The sequence below is a fragment of the Homo sapiens genome, chromosome 1 (genome assembly GCF_000001405.40).
Source record: "Homo sapiens chromosome 1, GRCh38.p14 Primary Assembly".
Classification (NCBI taxonomy): Eukaryota; Metazoa; Chordata; class Mammalia; order Primates; family Hominidae; genus Homo; species Homo sapiens.
In genome coordinates this window covers 99,703,708-99,728,136 of record NC_000001.11, presented here as the reverse complement: position 1 = coordinate 99,728,136, position 24,429 = coordinate 99,703,708, and the positions used below count along the sequence as shown (strand labels likewise).

The following is a 24,429-nucleotide window of genomic DNA, read 5'->3' as shown; positions in this document are numbered from 1 at the left end:
GAGGTTGTTGCAAGAGATATTGGCTCCTGTGGGGAAACTTGCCCAATATGAATCTCATCTCCTTAGACCTGAGCTTTCTCTAGGGAGGCGGGGAGGGAAAAAAGAGAATAGGTCCTGGACAGCTGAGTAAGCTGCTGTAAGACCTCCCACTGAGGGGAGAATGCCTCACACTGCCTTGCTGGTGTGGTATGTTTCCTGTCTCACATCTTTCTACGTGACTCTGATGCCAAGTACAGCCTAACATAGTTTTATGAGTCTGAATCTTTATTCTCAAGAAGACTACACTGGTGGATATTGCAACACATATTAATAGGAATAATTCGATTTTGTTTCAGGTCTTGGCTAATGATTTTTGAGGAACTGCAGGAAATGTCAATGTAGCATTTAATGACTCATCTCTTAGGAGATAACATTGCTCCAAAACTTTGAGAATATAGCCCACTTTGAAAATGGCGAGAAGGTAGATGTCTAGAGTGGAGAGACAGAGATGGGGTAAAAGAAAGGAAGAGCAGGAAATGTGATACAGGCAAATTGTGAAAAGCCTACAATTCTATCATGTGTTTTAGATTTTCTGCTCTTGGTAAAGCAGACTCCCAAAAGTTTTGAAGCAGAATAAAATATCTGCTCAATGTTAAAATTTAGGAACATTTAAATTAATTAACTCGCTTTTTATTAATTTATTTTTTTTGCTGAAGGAAGAATGCTAAAGGAACATTTTTAGATTTAGATATAGGTGATACATGTAGTTATCTTAGTCAAATCATTTGCTCTTGTTTGCACCAGCAATAGCAAATATGGCTTGAAAATAATTTCTTAATATGGCTTGATAATAATGAGTAAAAATTTCTTAATATGAGTAATAATTTCTTAATATGGCTTGATAATTATGAGTAAAAATTACTCAGTGCTTACTGAGTGCCAGTCAGTGGCTAAGCATTTTAGATAGATTCTTCATTTTTATCTTCATAAAATACAAGCTAGAGGTGTATTATTATTATCCCTTTTATCTAGGAGGAAATTCAGACTTAGAAAGGTGAAGTAATTTGCCCAGACAAGTAAACGGTGCAGTTGGAATTTGGCCTTTAGAGCCTGTGTATTCAGTACTTTAGAACATGGGAAATGGACTGGGTGCAGTGGCTCACGCCTATAATCCCAGCACTTTGAAAGATCCAGACAGGTGGATTGCTTGAGCCCAGGAGTTCCAGACCAGCCTTGGCAAAACCAAGTCTCTATTCAAAAAAAACAACAACAAAAAAATAGAAATTAGCTGGGTGTGGTAGTGTGCACCTGTGGTCCTAGCTACTCAGGAGGCTGAGGTGAAAGGATTGCCCGAGCCCAGGAGGTTGAGGCTGCAGTGAGCTATGATTGCACCACTGCATTCCAGCCTGGGCAACTAAGGGAGACCCTGTCTCAAAAAGAAAAGGAACATGGGAAATGTAGGGAATTAATTTTTAATGAGGAAAAGGTCAAGTATTTGTGTTTTTAAACAGCTACTACTAAAGTGCAGATCATTGTGTTGTTGTTATGATTGCAGCTATCACTTGTTGCATATTACATGTATCTCATTTATTTCTCACAGAGGCTTTGCATGTAGGTATTTTGTTGCTTTTTTTAGAGATAAGGAAACTGGGACCTAGTAGGGTCAAGCAACTTGTTCAAAATCAAACAAGTAGCAGAGCCAGGAATTAAACCCAGGTTGCTTCCAATTACAAAAGTTGTATCCTTTCTATAATATCAGACTGCTTCTTTTGGTGTCTGTATTAGTCTGTTCTCACACTGCTATAAAGAACTACCCGAGACTGGGTAATTTATGAAGAAAATAGATTTAATTGATTCACAGTTCCACAGCCTATACAGGAAGCATGGCTCGGGAGGCCTCAGGAAACTTACAATCATGGCAGAAGGCAAAGGGGAAGTAGCCACATCTTACATGGTGACAGGAGAGAGAGAGAGTGAAGGTGGAAGTGCCACACGTTTTTAAACAACGAGATCTCCTTAGAACTCATTCACTATCATGAGAACAGCAAGGGGGAAGTGTTCCCCCATGATTCAATCACCTCCCACCAGGCCCTTCCTCCAACACATGGAGATTACAATTCAAAGTGAGATTTGGGTGGGAGCACAGACCCAAACTATATCAGTGCCCAACATGTTATAGATACTTCATAAATGATTATTGATTCAAATGGATTTCTTAAATTGCTAGGGGATTTAATGGTTTATACTTTTTAAAGTTTTATACTTAAAATTATACTTTAGAGGAAAACTATTTCATTTAAATGGAGGAATTCTGTTGTATAATAAATTTTAAATGTGTGGGTATACAGCAGGTGAAATGTTTCTTCATAGGTTAGCAATGTAGAAATCAGAACATGTTTTCTTTTAAGTGATAGTTCTAACACTCCCTCAGAAACACCTAGTTGATGGATGATCCATGTGAAAATAGAGCATTGTTCCCCCTCCCTTGCCGGCTGATGTTGCTGTGCTGATGGCATGGGAGGGAAAATCTCTGTCTTGGCTCCTCTGTGGTGTTTCTCCAAGTGTCGCGCTTAATGTGCTTCAGAACCACCTGGAGTGACTGCTAGCAATGCAGATTCCTGAACCCCATCTCAGACCCACTGAGTCTCTTTTGTTGGTGCATGGAATCTGCATTTATAGGCATCCCAGGTGGTTTTATGTGTGCTGTAGTTTGATAACTTACTGCTCTAGGATGGGGTTTTCCCAAGTAAGCTATGCACATTGCAAGGCAGTCGAGGGGATACAGGGAACAATACTAGAACTTTGTTTAGATTTACTTTTATGTCATTAAAATTTTAAATATTTTAATGTATTTTATAGTGTACATCAGGGATCCCCAACCGACGGGCCATGGACTGGTTCTGGTCTGTGACCTGTTAGGAACTGGGCCGCACAGCAGGAGGTGAGCAGTGGGTGAGTGAGCATTACTGTCCTGTCAGATCAGCGGTGGCATTAGATTCTCATAGGAGCACGAACCCCATTGTCAACTGCGCATGTGAAGGATCTAGGTTGTGTGCTCCTTATGAGAATCTAATGCATTTTGATCTAAGGTGGAGCAGTTTCATCCCAAAACCATCGCTGCCCTTCTTCCATGGAAAAATTGTGTTCCATGGATCTGGTCCCTGGTGCCAAAAAGGTTGGGGACTGCTGGAGTACATAAGATATTAATACATATTAATATCTTAATATGTATTAGATATAATAGATATTAATACAATATGTATTAGGTGTAATAGATATTAATACAATATAATCCAATAAACATGAATCTGTTTATTAACAAAAATATACATATATTTGCAGCACAAGCTAATTTTTTTTTTTTTTAACTGGTACAGTGCAAAGCACACAAAACAAAACACTCCAATAAACAAACCTGGAGATTGCTATTCCTGGGAATGAATTTTCCAATCTTTTTGTACTGGGGAACAAAGGACAGTTATCACATAAATCATTGCCTCTTCTATTACTTAGCTTTATGTATGTGGACCATTTATAAATTGAAATCTGCTTAAAAGCAGTAAGACTTGGTAAGGTTTAAGCCAATTTTCAAAGCTATCATATAATCTCTGTAACCCGTATAAATGTAAAATGTATCCAATTTCAATAAAGTCTCCTAACAATCTATCCATTTAAAACCTTTTTCTAACTGCTATTTTCTTCATGTTGCTGACATTGTCCTGTCTTGGGATAAGCAGTCATGTGAAATACTGAGTGTTTAAACTGAAAGATAGAAATCACTTGGGTAATTAAGTAATTCACAATGAGGAAATCTACCAATTTTAATAATTAATGAAGTAGAGACACAGCTGTCACATGACCTGTTATTTAAAGAATTTAGGAATACTGTAGGTAACCTATTACTGCTGGTTCTTGCACTAAGCATGAACTCCCTTTGAGCAAGACTGCAAAATTATAATGGAGCCACACAATGGAACTCTGAAATCATAATGGACTTCTGCTTTCATGAAGGTTAAGTTCATACTTAGTTCATGGCTCTATAGTGATTCAGAGTTTAAACACATTTTCTTCCAACTTGTCTCTCAGGCTTGTTGGGCTTGGAGTCTCTTTTTCATAACTACCACTCAATGAATGCAAGATTTTTGCTTTCCCAGTGCCTTTCTTGTCATGTTTGATAGTTTTCTTGATCATTTTCTTTTTGACACTTTTGTAGCTCCTGACAGTTACTGTCTTTTTCTTCTTGACACTCTCTTCTCTAGGCATTCATTACATAAAACTCTTCTTTCTCATTTTCTGCTTTATAAGAAGCCATGGTAAAATAGTATTCACTGGATGAGTAACCAGGTGTCCTAACACCATTTTTTTGAATAGTCCATGTTTTCTCACTGCTTTAAAAGCCTCTTTATCATATACTAAAAATCTATCAATAAATTGAATTATTTCTAGTGTATCTGTTCCTCTATTGATATATTTGTCTATTCCTGCATTAGTTAGAATTGCTATTGCTTTATAATAGGTTTGTGAGTTTTGATAGAACATGATTCCCCTTCTGGCCTTCTTTTTCAAGAATTTTTGCTTCTTCATATGTATCTGTTCTTCTAGATAAACTTTAGACATAATTTGTCAAATTCTTCTTTTTTTTGAGATAGGGTCTCACTCTGTTGCCCAGGCTGGAGTGCAGTGGTGCAATCACTGCTCACTGAAGCTCGACCTCCTGGGCTCAAGCCATCCTCCCACCTCTGCCTCCCTAGTAGCTGGGACTACAGCCATGTGCCACCATTCTCAGCTAATTTTTTGTATTTTTTGTAGAAATGGGGTCTCGTCATGTTGCCCAGGCTGTTCTCCAACTCCCCGGCTCAAGCTGATTTGTCAAATTCTATTAAAAATCCTGTTGGGGTTGTGATTGAAATTGTAATGCAATTTTAGAGCAAGTTAGAGAATAATAACTGTGCAATAGTGAGTCTGTCTATGCAGGAACACATTGGGATATTCCATTTATTCCAATCCTGCATATGTGTCTTTCAATGAAATTTTATGGTTTTCTACATATCTTCATATAGGGCATATATATTTGGTTACTTTGTTCCTATGTATTTTATAGTTGTCTAAAGCAAATTATTATGAATGGAATTGTTTTTCATACGTTTTCTAAATATATTGTCATATAGGAAAGTTATTCATTATTGAATATTTATTTAAATTTTAAGCCTCCTAATTTCCAGTTGATTATCTTGGATTTTTCTAGATAAATGTCATATCCTGTGCAAATAATGGCAGGTTAATAGCCCTCATTTTCTTTCTTGTCTCATTGCATTGTTTAGTTCTTGCTGAATAATGTAGAATGGTAAATGAGGTGGCAAGAATTTTTGTGGTTATTTTTTATTTTGATGAAAATGCGTCTGATATTCAGTGTTAAATGTCTTGTTTGTTGTATTTTTCTTGTGGATATCCTTTATGGTGTTGAGGAAATATTCTTTTGTTTCTAACTTTAATAAGAATTCATATGAATGTGTGCTGAATTTCATCAAATGTCTTTTGGGCAGTGATTGAGATGATATTTTATCATTACTTTAATAGATTTCTGGACAGTGAATGATCCTCACATTCCTGGAATAAACCTTACTTGGTCATGTTTTATTATTCTCTTAATATATAACTGATTTGATTTACTAATATTTTCTTTAAGCTTTTTACATCTATATTCATAAGTGATTTTGGTTTACGTTGTGAATGTGTGCGAATGTGTGGGGTGCTTGTGTGAATGTACACATGCGTAGTTTTGATTTCAGGGTTATACTAAACTCATAGAGTAAGCTCTAGAAGAGTTTAAATAAAAAAGAATTTTTAACAGGCGAGGCACAGTGGCTTATGCTGTAATCCAAGCACTTTGAGAGACCGAGACGGGCAGATCATTTGAGCCCAGGAGTTTGAGACCAGCCTGGGCAACATGATGAAACCCATCTCCACAAAAAATACAAAAATTAGCTGGGCATGGTGGTGTGTGTCTGTGGTCCCAGCTACTTGGGAGGCTGAGGTGGGAGGATCTCTGGAGCCTGGGAAGTCAAGGCTGCAATGAGTTATGATTACACCACTGCACTCCAGCCTGGACAACAGAGTGAGACCCTGTCTCAAAAATAATAATAATAATAAAATAAAATAAATAAACAAATTAAGGAAAAATTTTAATGGTATGGTAGAACTCACCCATATAACGGTCTGGATGTTGGATGGAAATATTTGACTAATTAAAAAGAATTTTTCGACCGGGCGTGGTTGCTCACTCCTATTATCCCAGCACTTTGGGAGGCTGAGGCAGGTGGATCATGAGGTCAGGAGTTCAAGACCAGCCTGGCCAAGATGGCGAAACCCCGTCTCTACTAAAAATACAAAAATTAGCCGGGTGCAGTGGCAGGCTCCTGTAATCCCAGCTACTCGGGAGTCTGAGGCAGGAGAATGGCTTGAACCTGAGCGGCAGAGGTTGCAGTGAGCCAAGATCGTGCCACTGCACTCCAGCCTGGGCGACAGAGTGAGACTCCATCTCAAGAAAAAAAAAAAAAAAGAATTTTTCTATTGTTATTACTCTCCATGGTTACTACTACTTTGGTCAATTTTTGTAATTCTGTATTTCTCCCCCCAAATTCACCTATTTTGTTTAGATTTTGAGATTTTTGGGGGCTGATTTAAAGTTGTATACAGTGTTTTTATATAAAATGGTCTTCTATATTAGCAGCTATGTCACCCTTTAAATTTCCTTTTTTTTTTTTTTTTATTGAGACGGAGTCTTGCTCTATCTCGCAGTCTAGAGTGCAGTGGTGGGATCTCTGCTCACTGCAACCTCTGCCTCCTGGGTTCAAGTGTTCAAGTGAGTCTCCTGCCTCAGCCTCCTGAGTAGCTGGGATTACAGGTGCCCACCAGCGCACCCGGCTAATTTTTGTAGTTTTAGCAGAGACAGGGTTTCACCATCTTGGCCAGGCTGGTCTCGAACTCTTGACCTCGTGATCCACCCACCTCAGCCTCCCAAAGTGCTGGAATTACAGGCGTGAGCCACCACACCCAGCCATCCTTTAAATTTCTAACATTTTGATGTTTCCTTTCATTGTGTGATCAGAGTTGCCAAAAACTCAATGGATTTTAATTATCCTTTTAGAGGACTGACTTTTCTGATTTTTAGGGTTACTAGCTTAAGTTCTACCTTTATTTTTAATCGATCTTTTTTTTCTGGTTTCCCAGATTATATTTTGTTACTTTAAATGCACCTTGAATGAAATGATTTCTGTGTGTGTGTGTGTGTGTGTGTGTGTGTGTGTGTGTGTGTGTGTGTGTTAGGAAATGCTTTTAAGATGATAAAAACTTTTTTTGAATAGTACCTTGATTGCATCACACATGTTTTGTTATGAAGTATCTTTATTGTTATACATCTTGATGAAGACATGTGATTTTAGTTTTAATTTCTTATTTAATCCAAAGGTTATTAAAAAGAGTAGTTTTATAAATATCTAGGTGGACAATTTTCCCCCTAGCTTTTCAATGTTAATTTTTAGTTTTGTTGCATTTTGGGCAGATAATATAACCTGTATCCTTTTATTTCCTTTTGGAAATTATTGAGATGTAGTTTGAGGTCTAATATTTATCATTTGTTTTAGACAAAGGTTCATATATATATATTTGTTATATTAAATGTCTCATTTTTGATGCAGCACAGTATTCTAAAAATATGTATGTTCCAGAATTTATTTACTCATTCCTCTAATGATGGATATTTAGTTTGTTTGCTTTTTTATTTTTTGCCAGCATAGAAAACATTGCTATAAACATTCCTGTACATATATCTTTGGTAAGATAGATTCCTAGAAAGAACACACACAGATCCACACACATTTGGAATAATTCTATACATTCACTGATTTAATTTTGTACACAATAAATGGTAATAATGAAATAATTTATCCTTAATTTGCTTATGTCACTACTATTTGGAATTTTGGTTTGTCAGTTCAAATTGACCATGTGTGAAATAATGTATCATAAAATGCTTTTCTTTGTCTTCCAACCATCCTCTTTCCCCCAGCCCAATTTCAGTTAGTTTATTCTAGGATTTTATATGCAGGTGGTGGTCAATGGCTTGTAGATTTTTAAAAAATATGTATTCTCTTTCAATATTTTTTTTAACATTTTCAATGATTTGTGACCATATTAACAGCACTTATTTTAATTTATTATTTAACTTGTCTCTTTATACCACCAGTTCTTTTACTATACATTCTCCATTCCTAGTTGTCATTTTAATTCATCTCTTGGTTGGCTACATTCTTTAACTTTTTTCAGGAAGTCTGTGCCCTTGCATATATCTTTATGTTGCTTTTGCATATGAATGACATCTCTGTTGATATTTAATTATTTTTTATTACCTTAAGAAATTTTGTTGCCATGCCCTGCCCGTATCTCAATTCCTTTTTTATTTGAGGAAGTAATTATTCTTTGTCATGTTTAATTTTGTTTTTAATTTGCAGGTCGAATTTACAAGCACTCTCAGCAACCTTTGATTACCTATGAAAAATATGATGTGACAGACTCTCCAAAGAACATAGGAGGATCCCATTCTGTACTCCTTCTGAAGGTTCATGGTAGGTTACATGTGTAACTACTTTGTGGAATCAACTTACCTGCTGACTCAGTGCTGGCTGGATTAGGAATGGCTGTGGGTATAATGTAGCTAATTTTTATAAAGCATTTTTTTTTTTTTTTTTTTTGAGATGGAGTCTCGCTCTGTCACCAGGCTGGAGTGCAGTGGCACGATCTCAGCTCACTGCAAGCTCCACCTCCCGGGTTCACACCATTCTCCTGCCTCAGACTCCCGAGTAGCTGGGATTACAGGAGCCTGCCACTGCACCCAGCTAATTTGTGTACTTTTAGTAGAGACAGGGTTTCACCATGTTGGCCAGGATGGTCTCGATTTCCTGACCTCGTGATCTGCCCGCCTAGGCCTCCAAAGTGCTGGGATTACAGGCATGAGTCACCGTGCCTAGCCTATAAATCTTTTATGTTTAAACACTAACACTTGCAGGCAGCATCATCTTTTTTTTTTTTGACACAGCTGTTGGTAAGCATCATCTATCTTAATGTTTGCTAATTTTCATTAAAAATGGAGACTAGGGCTAATTCAGTGGTTTTAACCTTGGCTACACACTAAAATCACCAGTGGAGCTTTTAAGACATCTATAATTTTGAAAAACTATCCTAGTTGTTTCTAACTGCAGCCAGGGTCAAGTGTTACTGGGTTAATTTAACTTTTATGAGACCTTAATTTTTACCATTTATTAAAATAAATGCTAATAAAAGAGTGGCCTGTGATTTTGATTAATTATAACAATAGTTTGGTTTCAAAGGTACAATTTTATTGTTGCATTGATCAATGTACAAGTATTTGAGAGCATACAAAGTATGTAGTGCTGTACTTAGGCATCATATATAATACCTAAATGAGGAATAGAATGAAGTTCAAGAACAGTAGCCTAAAAACAAGGCTCTAGGCCGTACGCGGTGGCTCATGCCTGTAATCCCAGCACTGTGGGAGGGTCTGGTGGGCGGATCACTTGAGGTCAGGAGTTTGAGACCAGCCTGGCCAACATGGCGAAACCCTGTCTCTACTAAAAATGCAGAAATTAGCCAGCCATGGTGGTGTACGCCTGTAGTCCCAGCTACTTGGGAGGCTGAGGCAGGAGAATTTCTTGAACCCAGAAGGTGGAGGTTGCAGAGAGCTGAGATCGCACCACTGCACTCCAGCCTGGGCAACAGACTGAGACTCCATCCCCCAAAAAACAAAAAACAAAACACCCAAGACTCTTAATATACTCTGGTTCTACAGATGAAAGTTGATTTCATTTGAAAACTAGCCTGGCTTATAGTTAAAAAGATGGGATTTAAAAGTATGGGAGTAGTGTAGGGTATACTAAACTACTGTAAACTCTTAGTGTTTTGGGGGAAACTTTCCTTATTTGGGATATTCCCTTTATATTTTCCAGAGTTATCCATTATAGTAAAGTTTTCGATAAATGCCATCACAGTTAAGCTTGAAAGTAACTTTATTGTTGTTGATTTACTTCTACTCATGTTGTAGCTCCAGTTTGGTAGTAATTGGATTCAGAAATAATGTGCCTAATTGTTTTTCACTGCCTTTTGGAGTGAGATGTGAGAAGATTTTGAAATAACTACACACAGGCAGTTATTAGTACAGTGGTTAAGAGCACAGTTGCTGAAACCAGATAGGGTTTGTATTCCAACTTTGTAACCTCAGAAGAGCTACTTAATTCTCTATGGCTTTGTTTCTCCATTCAGCAAAACTGGAATAATAGTTTTGCTATTCATAATCATAGGATTGTTGTAAAGATCAACTAAATTAGTATATGTAAAGCATTTAGAATGCCTGGCACGTAATAGGAGCTGTAGAAGTGTTTGCTGTTCGAAAGAGTAATGGTAGTAAAACTATAATGTATAGCATCTTTTTAGGTTGTACTTATGTCAGCTGAATGTATTTTGCTGGCTGTTTATATTTTCTGAGCATTTGGCTTGGTCATTTAAGCGATGGCTTGATTCGTTTGTGATTGTCTACTATTGCATTTATCTCACTTGTAGGTGCCTTAATGTTTGTGGCATGGATGACTACTGTTAGCATAGGTGTACTGGTTGCCCGGTTCTTCAAGCCAGTTTGGTCAAAAGCTTTCTTGCTTGGTGAAGCAGCTTGGTTTCAGGTAGGTGAGGGAAAAAAGTTCAATGCAATATTCATAGTATTTGAACATTGCAACATGAAAACATATGAAGTATGTGTGTATGTGTATGCGTTTTGTGGTTGCAGTTGTAGGTTTGGGATCCTCCTTTTTCCCTTTGATTTCCTGATCAATTGAGAGTGGACACAATGTGCTTGATAGAGATAAGAATACAGACAGTTTTAGGAAGAGTCAGGCTGGACTGGAGAATGTGTCAGGACCATGTGAGTCCCTTTGTAATATAGACTTTGGGACCCAAATGACCTTTACTTATACCTCTGTTTGTAGAGGGAGATGTGGGAAGAGCATTCACCCACTGCACTGTACTGAGTAAAGTCAGGCCAAGGAATGCAGAGGAGCTGAAGAAAGAAATAGTGGGGGCTTACTGTGTTTCAAAGCAAGGGTCACTCCTCTGGTTGTGGGCCATTGAATGTTAGATTAACTCATCAATTGGGATCATCTATCTCCTGTATGGGTGGAAAGAGAAACTGAACGTGTTATTTTTCATGCTCTTCCTTCCCTTGAGATGGGGAGGTAGTCTACTAAAAGGAATATAGCAAGAGCCAATGAGTATCCTTCAAAACAAAGCAAAACAAACCTTATCTTTCATGGGTCATGGAGTATAGATATTTACATATGTAGTGGAAAATCACTGAGTTCATGTTGACTTAGAATGTACATGCCTGTAGAAAAAAATACTGCTTGTTCGAACAGTTTTGACTTTGTAAGAGGGTATCCTTGACATTTAATATTCATATAAATTTGTAGATCATAAGGTTTACCTTATCGAGCCTCATTTCTCACTATTGCCTGGGAAGGCCAGTCTGATTTGTTCTCGGTACTGCTACCTGGCTCACCTTGCTCCTTTCTTTCTCTGCCTGTGGTTTGCTGCCAGGTGACTACTTTCTTGCTTGCACTTGCGTGCCTTTGCTCTTGTGCTCTCTCTCTCTCATCTGCTCATGTGGATATTCCCAGCTCAAAGACTGTGTGTATTCTCTTTATCAACTCAAATCCTCCACTGCCTTTAAATTTATGATGCTGATGATGTGTGTACATACATGTCATAGTTTTATCTCTGTCTCTATCTCCATCCATCCATCCATCCACCCATCTATCCATCCAGCCATCCATCCATACACACACACATACACAGGGTGCTTCCTACTTTCCCCAAGATAGTTTTGGTCTGCACCAGTTATCCTGGCATAATCAATAAACAGTGGCTATTTTCACACTTATTCTCCTAATTTGTATCATGAATTATATAGTTCACATATTTTTCTTGTATTGACTCAATTATATCTGAAGCTCCTCAGGAGACAGTATTTTTTGTTTGTTTGTTTCCTTACTATCTCATTGCACCTGTCATAGCACTGTGCTCGATGGTGGAGCTTAATAAATATCTTTGGAAGGAAATGAAGGACTTGGCAAGTAAATATGCTCTGTGTGTGAAATATCCATTCCTGCTGCTCTGTGCAAGTGAAGTCTTGGCAAACACTTTTGAATGATGAGAATGGCAGCTTAAGGTTTTCTTTAAAGTTTAATTGTATACTAAGTTTTTTTTTTTTTTCTTAACCTGGCTACAAACTGTGATTAGATGTCAGTTGAATGCATGCCTTCAGTGAATCTTACCCCATAGTCTTTTCCCCATTTTCCCCGTTGCAACACCACCTTTCTTTTACATGGATAAGTGTCTTCTTAATTTGTCATTTTACCTTGCAGGTGCATCGGATGCTCATGTTCACCACAACTGTCCTCACCTGCATTGCTTTTGTTATGCCGTTTATATACAGGGGAGGCTGGAGTAGGGTAAGTATATCTTAAATAGGGTTTTTTTTATAAATCCATTTTATGTCAAAACAGATTGCTGTTTTATTTTCAAATGATGGGTAAAAAGATATTTCAGCATTGATCCCTCTTTCTTTCCCTTTTGAATCATTGGATGGCTCTCTCACATGGTTGGAGGTTGGGGTATAGTGAGGATGTCAGTACAGATTACTTAGCAATGAAATGTATTTTTAGGGTGCATCATGAGTTATATACATGCTATAGCCTTAGTGAATTTTTTCTCACTATAGAGTGGTGACAATTCAATGTGTGATATCTAAGGAACATGAACAATGTGAGTGGTTTTCTCTAACTAGTACTGTGATGACCACTAAGCTAACATAATTTGGATTTCTACTCAGTACCCAGCGGTGCTAAGTGCTTTATATGTGTTATCTAATTTAAATCTCAGGCTGGGTGTGGTGGTTCACACTTGTCATCCCAGCACTTTGGGAGGCTGAGGCGGGAGGATTGCTTGAGCTCAGGAATTCGAAACCAGCCTAGGCAACATAGTGAGGCCTCATCTCTATATATTTTTATTAAAAAATCTTTTAAATCTCAAATATAGTAGGTATTAATAATAATCCCATGTCACAAATGAAGAAACTGATGCTTATTCCCAAATCTTTATCTCCAGTCCAGACTTCTCCCGTGGCTTGAAACTCACACATCTAGCTCACATTGCATGCAGGACCTTGACTTGCATGTCTAAGACATTAGACTTAACATGTCCAAAATGGGACTCCTGATCATCTTTTCTCCCAGGCCTGTTCTACCCACTGCCACCTCCATGGTAGCTACTGGGATTCCATTGTTAGATCAAAGCCTTGGAATTATCATTAACTGTGCTCTCTTGCACATCCCATGTCAAATCCACTGGGAAGTTCCACTGGCTCTACCTGTAAAGTATATCCACAGTCCAACACTTGTCACTGTCATCAGATACTACTGTAGGAGTGTGAGCCTCCATCATCTTTTGGTTGGCCATTGCAGTAGCCACTTAACTGGTCTCTCCACTTCAACCCTTGCCCGTGCACAATCTATTTTCTACAAAGAAGACAGTTATTTTTTTTTAAATGTAAACCAGGCCGGGCATGGTGGCTCACACCTGTAATCCCAGCACTTTGGGAGGCCAAGGCAGGCAGATCACGAGGTCAGGAGTTCGAGACCAGCCTGACTGATATTGTGAAACCCCATCTCTACCAAAAACACTAAAATTAGCCAGGCGTGGTGGCGCACGCCTGTCATCCCAGCTACTCAGGAGGCTGAGGAAGGAGAATCACTTGAACCTGGGAGGCGGAGGTTGCAGTGAGCTGAGATCGCACCACTGCACTCCAGCTTGGGTGACAGAATGAGACTCCACCTCAAAAAAAAAAAAAAAAGTAAACCAGACCATGCCATTCTTGTACCTCAAACTAGTTTCTCTAATGTCTCTCAATTTTATTAAGAGTAAAAGTCAAAGTTCTTCCAGGGACCTTCATGACTGCCTCCCAGTTATTCTCTGAACTGACCTCCTCGTCCTCTCCTTCTAGTCCATCTCCTTCCATACCAGCCTCCTGGTTGGTATGCAGACATGCCAGGCATGCTCCTGCTTTATAGTCTTTGCCATGATTCTTCTTTCTGCCTGGCACACGCTTCCATTACTCCCTCACCTTCCTCAAGTTTTTGCTCAAATAGAAGCCTCTCAGAGAGCCCAGCCCTGCTCTATTTTTTCCCATAGCACTCTTTATGCCATTTCATATAATTTACTTACTTGTCATATTTTTTCTTGATCTCCCTTCCAACACTACTATGTCAGCTCAGTCAGAGCTGGGATATCCACTGATATGTTCAGAACAGATTTAAGTATATAGCAGGTACTCAGTAAACATTTAGTGAATGAATGAATAACTCTTATTGAGAATAAGTGACATATGTTAAGTTCAGAGCCTGTGCTTTTATTATGCTTTTCCAGTTTTATAGCCAATGAGAATTTGATATCAAAATTTCACATTTCAGAGCTTGGGCTGGTGCTACAGGGATAAGATTGATGAATCCTGGGTCACAGATATTACTAGGAAAGCTCCCTCCTGCCTTTTAGGTAGTTTATGGGTCAGTCAACCTATCTTTTTAAGGAAGTTATGAAGATTTTGTGATATGAATTGAGACATGAGAACTTTATTTTATTCAGACATTTTGGACAAAGGTAACACTTATTTTGTAATTGTCTAGTTTATAGCCTTTGCAATTTATGAATACGATAGAACAAAGGTTAAGAGCGCCATTCTAAAGCTGGATTCCTTGGATTCAAATCCTGGCACCATGACTTATTACCTGGGGCACCTTGAGCAAGTTATTTAACTATGACCCTCAGTTTACTCACCTGTAAAATGGGGGTGGTATAGTATCTATCTTATAGGCTTTCTGTGAGCATTGTGGTTAAAATAACTGAAAGTACTTAGGACAGTTCCTAGCACATTCTAAACACATGCAAGAATCTTGTTGCTGCTGCTGTTTTATTTTTTATTAGATAGAACCCTTTATATCTCTAAAGTCATGGTTATAATTTTACCCATGCATAACTGAGTCCCAGCTGGGCTGCAGATGGCTGTTCTGATGTTGGTGGCCATCTATTAGGTTGGTGCAAAAGTAATTGTGGATTAAAATACTTGAAAAAAAACTGCAAAAACTGCAACTACTTTTGTACTAACCTACAACATCCTGATGGGGAAAGGTAGCATTCTGTACATGGATTCCACCACAACCATGTACATACTCTGTGACCTTGGACATAGTTCTTGATATCTCTGAGCCTCAGTTTCCCCATTTGTAAAATTGGGATATTGATAACCAGTTGTCAAACATTGTAGTTGTCAAAAATTAGTGTGTGTAAAGTGTATGCCTGGTACAACGTGTATACTCAGTGAATGTTGCATATTATTATTATCATCATTATTGAATCTTTAAAGCCATGGAAAAATACTAAGAATACATCTGTGTGTATTATTTTTAACTTGAGGATTTAAATTGATGAGAGAGATTGAGGCCATTAAAATGATGTAACTTTGTTTAGCATGCAGGTTACCACCCATACCTCGGCTGTATAGTGATGACTTTGGCAGTTCTTCAGCCTCTTCTGGCAGTCTTCAGGCCACCTTTACATGACCCAAGGTACTTAGAGCCTTTCTATATAAATGCTCTCTTAATGTAGATATCATTAGTTGGCAAACTAATCTGTTTTCAAATGGAAAAATTTTGCATTTTATAAAATTCAGTGATAAATTATAGTTACTTTGAAATACTTTAAAATGCATTTCAGATATCTAATTCCCAGACAATAAGGAAATTACATGCTTTTTATTCTAGTGGGAATTAATTATAGTTCCATTGCTTTTAAGAATACTGACTGGTTCTTATTTTGGTAGAAGGCAAATGTTTAACTGGACTCATTGGAGTATGGGAACAGCTGCTAGAATAATAGCAGGTAAGAGATTGTGATGCCACTTATTCATATATAATTGCTAGCTGCTTATATTACAAGTTGTAATTTGGCTTAAATGATTTTTAGATGCATTAGTAATTGGAGTAATTGGTTGTTGAGAAGAAATCAGCCTTAAACGTTGAAATCCAGAAAGTAATTTCTAGAGGTAATGATTTAAGTCATTATTTCAGTTTTAAGTTTAAGGTCTTTACAATAACTTTAAAACTCTCATTTAAAGACTTATTTTAGTATTTGCCTTTGCCAGCAGAATAAGCTATGCTGATGGCCAAACATTTGAGTAGCTCAAATTGAGGGTCATTTGTGAATTGGGTTGAGGTGGGTTGCTGGGTTCAAGCTTTCCATCTCCAGGTCCTTTCCATGGGGCTTGTATCTTCCAGGGCAGGGTGGTTTTCAAAAGTCAGGAATACTTATGCAGCATATTTTGATACCTTGTATAATAAACACCTAAGTAGGCACCTTCTACCTTAACACTGCTATAGTCTATGGGATTCTTTGTCAGAGTGGGAGTCCAATCAACTGTGGTTTCTATACTTTTCTCCTTTCATATATTGCAGACTTAAAACAATCTGGAAAATGTGGGTGCATCTCTTTTAAGGATTGGTAGATTACGCAGCCATAAAAAAGAATGAAGTCATGTCTTTTGTAGCAACATGGATGCTGCTGGAAGTGATTATCCTACATGAATTAATGCAGAAACAGAAAATCACATACCACATGTTCTCACTTATAAATGTGAGCTAAACAATGAGTACACACGGACATAAAGATAGAAACAATAGACCCTGGGGACTCCAAAAGAGGAGAGGGCGGAATGGGGGAAAGAGTTGAAACACTACCCTTTGGGTACTATGTTCACCACTTGGGTGATGGGTTCACTAGAAGGCCAAACTCCAGCATTATTACGCAATATGCCCTAAACCGCCCCCCACAATTGGTAATTCATAATCAGTTGCCCATCTTGCCCTATCTAGCCTTATAATTTTAAAAGTCTGAATTAACTATTTGGTCTTAGATATTAATCTTCTTTTATCTCAAACTCTTTTAGTATGTTTTACTTGATAATACACATACACAAACACACAATTGTCTCTCTTGGTGGGACTACATTTGAATGTAACTTTTTTCTTTTGTATGTAGTGGCAGCGATGTTCCTGGGAATGGATTTACCAGGACTGAATCTTCCTGATTCATGGAAAACCTATGCAATGACCGGATTCGTAGCCTGGCATGTTGGGACTGAGGTTGTTCTGGAGGTACATGCTTATCGGCTCTCTCGCAAAGGTAACCTGGTAAAAAAGCCATGTTATGTAGAAGCACTTCTATACAAACCATTGGAAAAGAATGCGCTTCCCGATAGTAATGGCTGACTGCTACATTGTTAGCTCACTAAAAACTTGTGATCACTCAGCCAGTGCTAGAAATTGTGATTTTCTGCCTTTGTTTTTTTACATTTGTTACTATTAGAAGTTGTGAATAAGATATAAAGGAAAGGTTTTAGGTTTTAGGCAGGGAGTCTTCCTTGTAAGTACTTTCACTTTGCTGGTCTGACTTAGAGCCAGTATGGACTGGGAACTCTGAATGCCTAGAGCTGAGGAAACCCTGAGATGGAGGAAGAAGAGACTCAAAGTCAACACTGGATGGAGGTGCAGACAACTTTGACCTATTTGACAAATTTACTGGGTGCTATCATTTAGGTTGTCATGTGCATAATTATGTAGCTAGGAGCAAGCCAGATAGGAAGGACTGATTTTGCTTTTGCTCTTTAGTGACAAGGTTTGTTTTGGTGCCAGGCAGGGTCAGGATACCTATAGCCACCATTAGGAGTGGAGAAATTAGTAGGGAATGGGTATCATTTAGCCTGGATTCTAGGCTAAATGTCCTTTGTGTCCTGCCTGGTTTTCATCCACCAAAATAAGTGAAGGTGGCCTTCTAAAAACAAAAATTCTTTGTTGTCTAGTGTATATGTTGTAAACTTAGGAGAGCCTGGGGTGGCTTCAGGAGCTGAGTAGTACATATCTGTCCTGCTACTTTTGATCCTTGATAGGCTTATATATGTGGGGCTTTTGATGACCACTGAATTATGGCTTACTGTTTTTTTGTTTGTTTGTTTGTTTGTTTTGAGACAGAGTCTCACTCTGTCATTTAGGCTGGAGTGCAGTGGTGTGATCATAGCTCACTGCAGCCTTGAACTCCAGAGCTTAAGCCATCCACCTGATTCAGATTCCCATCTAGCTGGGATCACAGGGACGTGCTATCATACCCAGCTAAGTTTTTAAATTTTTTTAGAGACAGGGTCTCACTTTGTTGCCCAGGCTGATCTCAAACTCCTGGGCTCAAGTGATCTACCCGCCTCTTCCTTCCAAAGTGCTGGGATTGCAGGTGTGAGCCACCATGCTTGGCTGATGGCTTACTGTCTAAAATACATATATACTTAAAACCTGGATAGTTATCATATGTTAATTAGTTTGATTTAGCTATTTTATAATGTATGCATATATCAAAACATCATGTCATACACCATGAATATATACAATATTTTGTCAATCAAAAATAAAACCAAAGAGCTTAGATCGTTATGACTTTGAGGTGGTGTTTAATGACTAGAAGAAGGCATATTTTAAGTTATTTAACAAATGTGTGCTCTTGCCAGATTGTCCACATTTGTGAGAGGCTTAATTGTTCAGGAAGTCTGCAATAATTAGTAGTTTGGAGTGGGAGAATTTCTACCCTGGAAATTGGGGTGAACAGTACAAATCAGGTTTTTTTAAAAAATTTAATTTACCTGCATAACGCTGCCCTTAAAAACTTATGTTATTATTCTTGACAGTTGAAATATTGGATGATGACAGAATTCAGATCCTTCAGTCATTTACTGCAGTGGAAACAGAGGTAAGTCCTTTTCTTGTTCATTGACACAAACCTTAATGGTAATACTTTTTTTTTTCATATCTCAATTTTTCTTTCAGGGTCATGCTTTTAAAAAGGCAGTGTTGGCAATTTATGTCTGTGGGAATGTTACTTTTCTCATCATATTTTTATCTGCAATCAACCATCTATGAGCAAGCAAAGACCTTGGCTTTTGCAGGCCAAGTGATAATTATCATCAAACCAAAGAAACTTGAAGCCTGTCCTGACTGCCTGGAGCATATTTGTGAATTCTCACTTGGAAGACTGGGGTCATGTCTGTAGAGGAATTCTGAAGTCCAGCCTTTAGAGAACAACATTCAAGAGGGTCATATAGACTATAAATTAATGTCATGCCCTATATGTAATTCTGGGTCTTAAAGGAAAGATTGTACTTCAGGAGAAGTAACTCTCAAATATTTCATGCCAAGATTTTAAGAATGTTGGTATTTAAGAAAATAAATAGTGATTTGGAAAATCACAACAGATGTCACTAGGATAATAAAGAGATATATTACGATATATATATATATATATATATATATATATATATATATTTTTTTTTTTTTTTTTTTTTTTTTTTTTGAGACAGAGTCTTGCTCTGTCGCCCAGGCTGGAGTGCAGTGGTGCAATCTCGGCTCACTGCAAGCTCTGCCTCCTGGGTTCACACCATTCTCCTGCCTCAGCCTCCTGAGTAGCTGGGACTACAGGTGCCCGCCACCATGCCGGGCTAATTTTTTTTATATTTTTAGTAGAGACAGGGTTTCACCATTCACAGGATGGTCTCGATCTCCTGACCTTGTGATCTGCCTGCCTCAGCTTCCCAAAGTGCTGGGATTACAGGCGTGAGCCACCACGCCCAGCCTATGGTAAATATATTTTGAACTACAAAGGTGCTGTGGTACTTTAAAGAAAAACTATTTTTACTAGTTTATCTGAATGGTCTGTGGACTTTATTTAGAAACTGTTTTTCAGTTTAGTTTTTTGGACATATCCTTTGCTCAGTGTATTTTGTTACTTCTCTAGTAAAGGTAGAAGTGAAGCAGATGCCATTGTAGGTTTTACCAGCATTTAAATATATTATGAATTGCTTAGCAATGAAATGCAAGTATGCATCTTTTACTTAAAGATACTATTTATGTATTCAGCTACAGAGATGAAATAGCATTTTATGTGTTAATTGTTTTGGCTATAAAATTTAAGTCCTTACAGCATTTGGGGATTATACACTTGGATTTCAAAATTGATAAAACCCTTGTGAACATATCTAATAGATATTCTGTTTACTTGTAGAAATAATATAATGTGTCTGGTTCTGTTTTGTTAGACATTTTTTATGTTCTACTGAATCAGAATAGTCAGTGTTATATTCCTTATTTCAAGAATTCATCTATTTTATGGCTACATCTCATATGTGCTATGAGGACTTCTAGCCAGTGGGTGGCGCTGTAATACCGAAGTACTGCACTGCTTTGTTCCTGTTTCCTTGTGCTGATTCCTTTCTAGTATTTAGGTAACATTACCGGATGGCATTTCCCTTAAATTCCACCAACTCTTAATCTTTATTTTAAAAATGGCTACTTTTTTTGGGTGGTTGGGGTAAGGGTTAAAACCTTAAATTAGTAACCGCTGTTTATTTTCCAGTTTATTTGTTTTCTGTGATTATTTATAATAATTGATATTTGTTTTTACAAGTCCCCTGACCCTGTAATAATGAATGCAGCTATCTTAGGCAAAGCAAATAAATAAACTGGGCATTTTTAAAATAAAAAATTTAGGAAGTCATACTTTATTTCTTTAGGTATTCTTTCTGATTATGTTATAGTTTCTGCTTGGCCCGAGAACCTAATTTCTATATGGTGTGAATAATAGCCTCAGCTATGTAGCCTACATCTTTATTTTATTAATATTTTTCAAAAATTTTCTCATTATTTCTTTTTTATATTTTTATTTTTTGAATTTACTTAACCAACTTTCTACTAATAGCCTACATCTTTTACTGGGTAAAATAATGTGGAAGTTTAGTTTTTGTTCCTTTTATAGGTGTTTATCATAAGTGGCTTAGGGCTTAGATATGAACTTTCTGTGTTCATATTCTATATGTGCCATGCTACTTATAATCTAAATTTTCCTTTTGAAGGTCTTTATTAAAAAAATTTAGTATAGCAAATTAAGTGTGTACTAAAGTTATTTTCCTCCAGTTTTCTATACTAAGGAGCTTAAATGTTAATAAATTTCTCTTAAGTTATATTCTACATCTGACAAAGAAAAATTCTCTCTTTTTTTTTTTTGTGACAAAGTCTCACTCTGTTGTCTAGGCTGGAGTGCAGTGGTGCAATGTTGGCTCACTGCAGCCTCCACCTCCTGGGTTCAAGCGAGTCTTGTCTCAGTCTCCTGAATAGCTGGGACTACAGGTGTGCACCACCAGTCTCGGCTAATTTTTATATTTTTAGTAGAGACGGGGGTTTCACATTTTGGCCAGGCTGGTCCCAAACTCCTGGTCTAAAGTAATCCACCCGCCTCAGCCTCCCAAAGTGCTGGGATTACAGGCACGAGCCACTGTGCCCAGCTGAAAATTCTTTTAAGGGAAAGATGAGTCTTGATGTGTTTGGTCTTCAAATATGTGGGCTTGCTATATTTCGAGTGTTGAGGCTAAGATATTTTAACTTTTTCTTTTTCAGTGCTTCATATGTTGGCACTATTTTGGTCTTTGCCAACTTACATACAGAGTTCCCCGAATAAGCCTTTGCATTTAATCTTTTTTTTTTTTTTTTGAGACAGGGTCTTACTCTGTTGCCCAGGCTGGAGTGCAGTGGTGCGATCTTAGCCCACTGCAGCCTTGACCTCTTGGGCTTTAGTGATCCTCCCACTGCAGCCTCCAGAGTAGCTGGAACTACAGGCACCAACTCCGTGCACCACCACAGCCAGCTAATTAAAAAAAAATTTTTTTTTTTTTTTGGTAGAGAAGGGATCTCCCTTTGTTGCCCAGGCTGATCTCGAACTCCTGGGCTCAAGCAATCCCCTTGCCTCAGACTCCCAAAGTGTTGGGATTATAGGCATGAGCCATTGCACCTGGCCCCAAATAGACCAAATCTTTTGATTAGAACCAAATTATTCTTCTTCTGCTTATGGGTGGTTGGTATCCACAAATTGCAAATGCCTAGTCTTCACTCCTCTCAGTTTTTCTTTTTGTTTCTGTAATAAACACTCTGGGAAGTTTTTCAAAAGTTATTTCTTTTGATAGTAATTATTGTTAAATTAAATGCTTTTATATCTTTAGCAATGTTGCCAAAAACAATGAGCAAAATCATGTTTTCTTCTAAAGAAGTGATGCAATATGAAATAAAGATGTGTGTGCTTTTCAGAAAGAAATGAAAGAAATTCTAGAAAATTGTGGTTGGGCTGGCATTAATAGCTGAGGCAATAAAAAAATTCTCTGGTCTGCAGAAATCAATCTTAAGGGCAAAGGTAGTCTATAGTATGGGTTATCAAGTAAATGAATCAAATTCACTTTAGTACTTTATTTTTGTCAAGGATTTTGTCTCTAATGTGTGTTAAGCAATACCTCATCCCTTCCACATCCTGCACCAGTCCAGGCTGCAGTGGGAAAAGACAAATGCAGCAGATGCCAACTAGGAAGCTCTCAGGGCACATGTAGTGTTTGGCTGAAATTCTATTTATCTGTATATTCTCATGAGGCAGGGAAAAAAAGAACAAAGGTCCTTGTTTAAGATAATCCATTATAGGTTGGAATGAAAGGAAAGATTCTTCTAAGAGTCCTTTTTAAATCAGATTAGGATATTCACAGTTCCTATCCACATCCTGCTTCTTTCTTCCTTGTGCAGCCCCTACCAAGCTCATCTCTGCACCCAGGTCACAGATGGTTACCAGCCTGGAATGCCCTTCTCAGTGAAACGGGAAATGTTCCCTTGTCCCCCTTGCAGGGTGTGGAATGGGGATGTGGCTGGCTTCTTCAGTGCCCCACTGCTCAAATCTAGGGGAGCATACAGATGGGCAGGCTGTGGGGCTCCGACCCCACAGCAATGTCTAGGGGTGAATGTTTGCAGCTGAAGCCCCAGTGGGCATGTGTTACCACGTGCTCTTTTAGTTTAGCTGTCCATAGTTAGCTTGTGTTAGCTCAATTAGACCCCTGCCTTATTGCAAGGACAGAGGGCTTTCTGTATCCCTGGGTTCTTGCCTTGGTGTACCAGGAGAATCGGATCACACCTGGGCTTGAAGAACGAGTGCAAGGTTTTACTGAGTAGAAGTAGCTCTCAGCAGATGGGGGAGCCAGAAGGGAGATGGTTTTCCCCTGGAGTTGGGCCGCTAGACTGCCTGGGCTCTCCTCTGATTGCCCCGGCCAAACTCCGCCAACTGTTCCTCCTTCCGCCAGTCGTGGCCTGTCGGCATGCTGGGATCTGTCGTGTGCTCTTCCTCTGGCGTGCTCCCATCCACATCCTCTCGCTGTCCAGCTGCTTGTGTCTTCTGCGATGTGTTCCTCTCCACGTCCAGCTGCTTGTGTGTCTGCCTGCTAGAATCTTGGAGGTTTTTATAGGCACAGGATGGGGGCGTGGTGAGCCAGGGTGGTCTTAGGAAATGCAACATTTGGGCGCTGAAGGCAGGGGTGCCTGTCCTCACTTAGACCCGTGGGCACGGGTTTGGGGGTGGAGCCCTCGCCAGGGACCACGCCCTCCTCTACCCAGCACTTCCTTTCCCTCCTTTCCTGTTATTTAAAGGGACCACGCCCTTCCCAGCACTTCCCTCCCGTTATCACTTACAAAAGCTAGTTTATCAAGTTCTAGCTCCTTCCCTGACTTGCTGTCCAACATTGGTATCTTTTTGTTTTGACCATCCTTATAAATGGGATGGGAGGCAGCTGATCCTGTAAATTAAAAAGGACTGGAAATTAGAAGACCTGAATGTGCATGTTTGCTTGTTGGTTTACAAGCTGCATGTCCTTGGGTAAGTCACTTATCTTCCCTGGGCTCTATTCTTTCATCTGTAAAGCCCATCTCACAGAGCAGCTGTGAGGATCCAATGAAGTGATGCCAGCAAAAGGTGCTTGCTTCGTACATGTTTTTGATGATGTCTTTGCCATTTGATTGCAGTGTTAAACTTAATAAATTTTGCATGTAAAATGTATACTTTTTATAAAAAATATTTGATATTCATCTTGAAAACATTATGCTGAATAAAATAAAGCAGACGCAGGACGACTATTGTATTAATATGATTTCACTTATATGAGGTACCTAAACTAGTCAGATTTACAGAGACAGAAAGTACAATGGCGAGTACCAGGAGCTGGTGGGAGAAAGGAAATGGGAAGTTAGCGTTTTTTTTTTTTTTTTTTTTTCCTTTTTTGAGATGGAGTCTCGCTCTGTCGCCCAGGCTGGAGTGCAGTGGCATGACTGGATTCTAGGCTAAGTGGAGCTGCAGACAACTTTGACCCGTTTGACAAACTTACTGTGGGCT

At 38.5% G+C, this 24,429-nt stretch overlaps 1 protein-coding gene across 8 annotated transcripts in view; it reads left to right on the top strand.

The window, feature by feature from the left end:
- FRRS1 (ferric chelate reductase 1) overlaps nt 1–24,167 on the top strand; it is a 62,666-nt gene extending 38,499 nt beyond the window's left edge. For 4 of the 8 annotated variants that reach the window (XM_017001271.2, NM_001361041.2, XM_047420239.1 and 1 more), the window contains 8 exons: nt 8,490–8,603; nt 10,612–10,727; nt 12,465–12,551; nt 15,622–15,719; nt 15,974–16,032; nt 17,188–17,331; nt 18,878–18,939; nt 19,017–24,167. In XM_017001271.2, the coding sequence (XP_016856760.1) occupies nt 8,490–8,603; nt 10,612–10,727; nt 12,465–12,551; nt 15,622–15,719; nt 15,974–16,032; nt 17,188–17,331; nt 18,878–18,939; nt 19,017–19,109 (773 nt within the window). In that variant the 3' untranslated portion in view covers nt 19,110–24,167. The other 4 variants (NM_001013660.4, XR_946655.2, XM_011541452.2 and 1 more) reach the window with 4 other exon arrangements.
- The last annotated feature ends 262 nt before the right edge of the window (nt 24,168–24,429 follow it).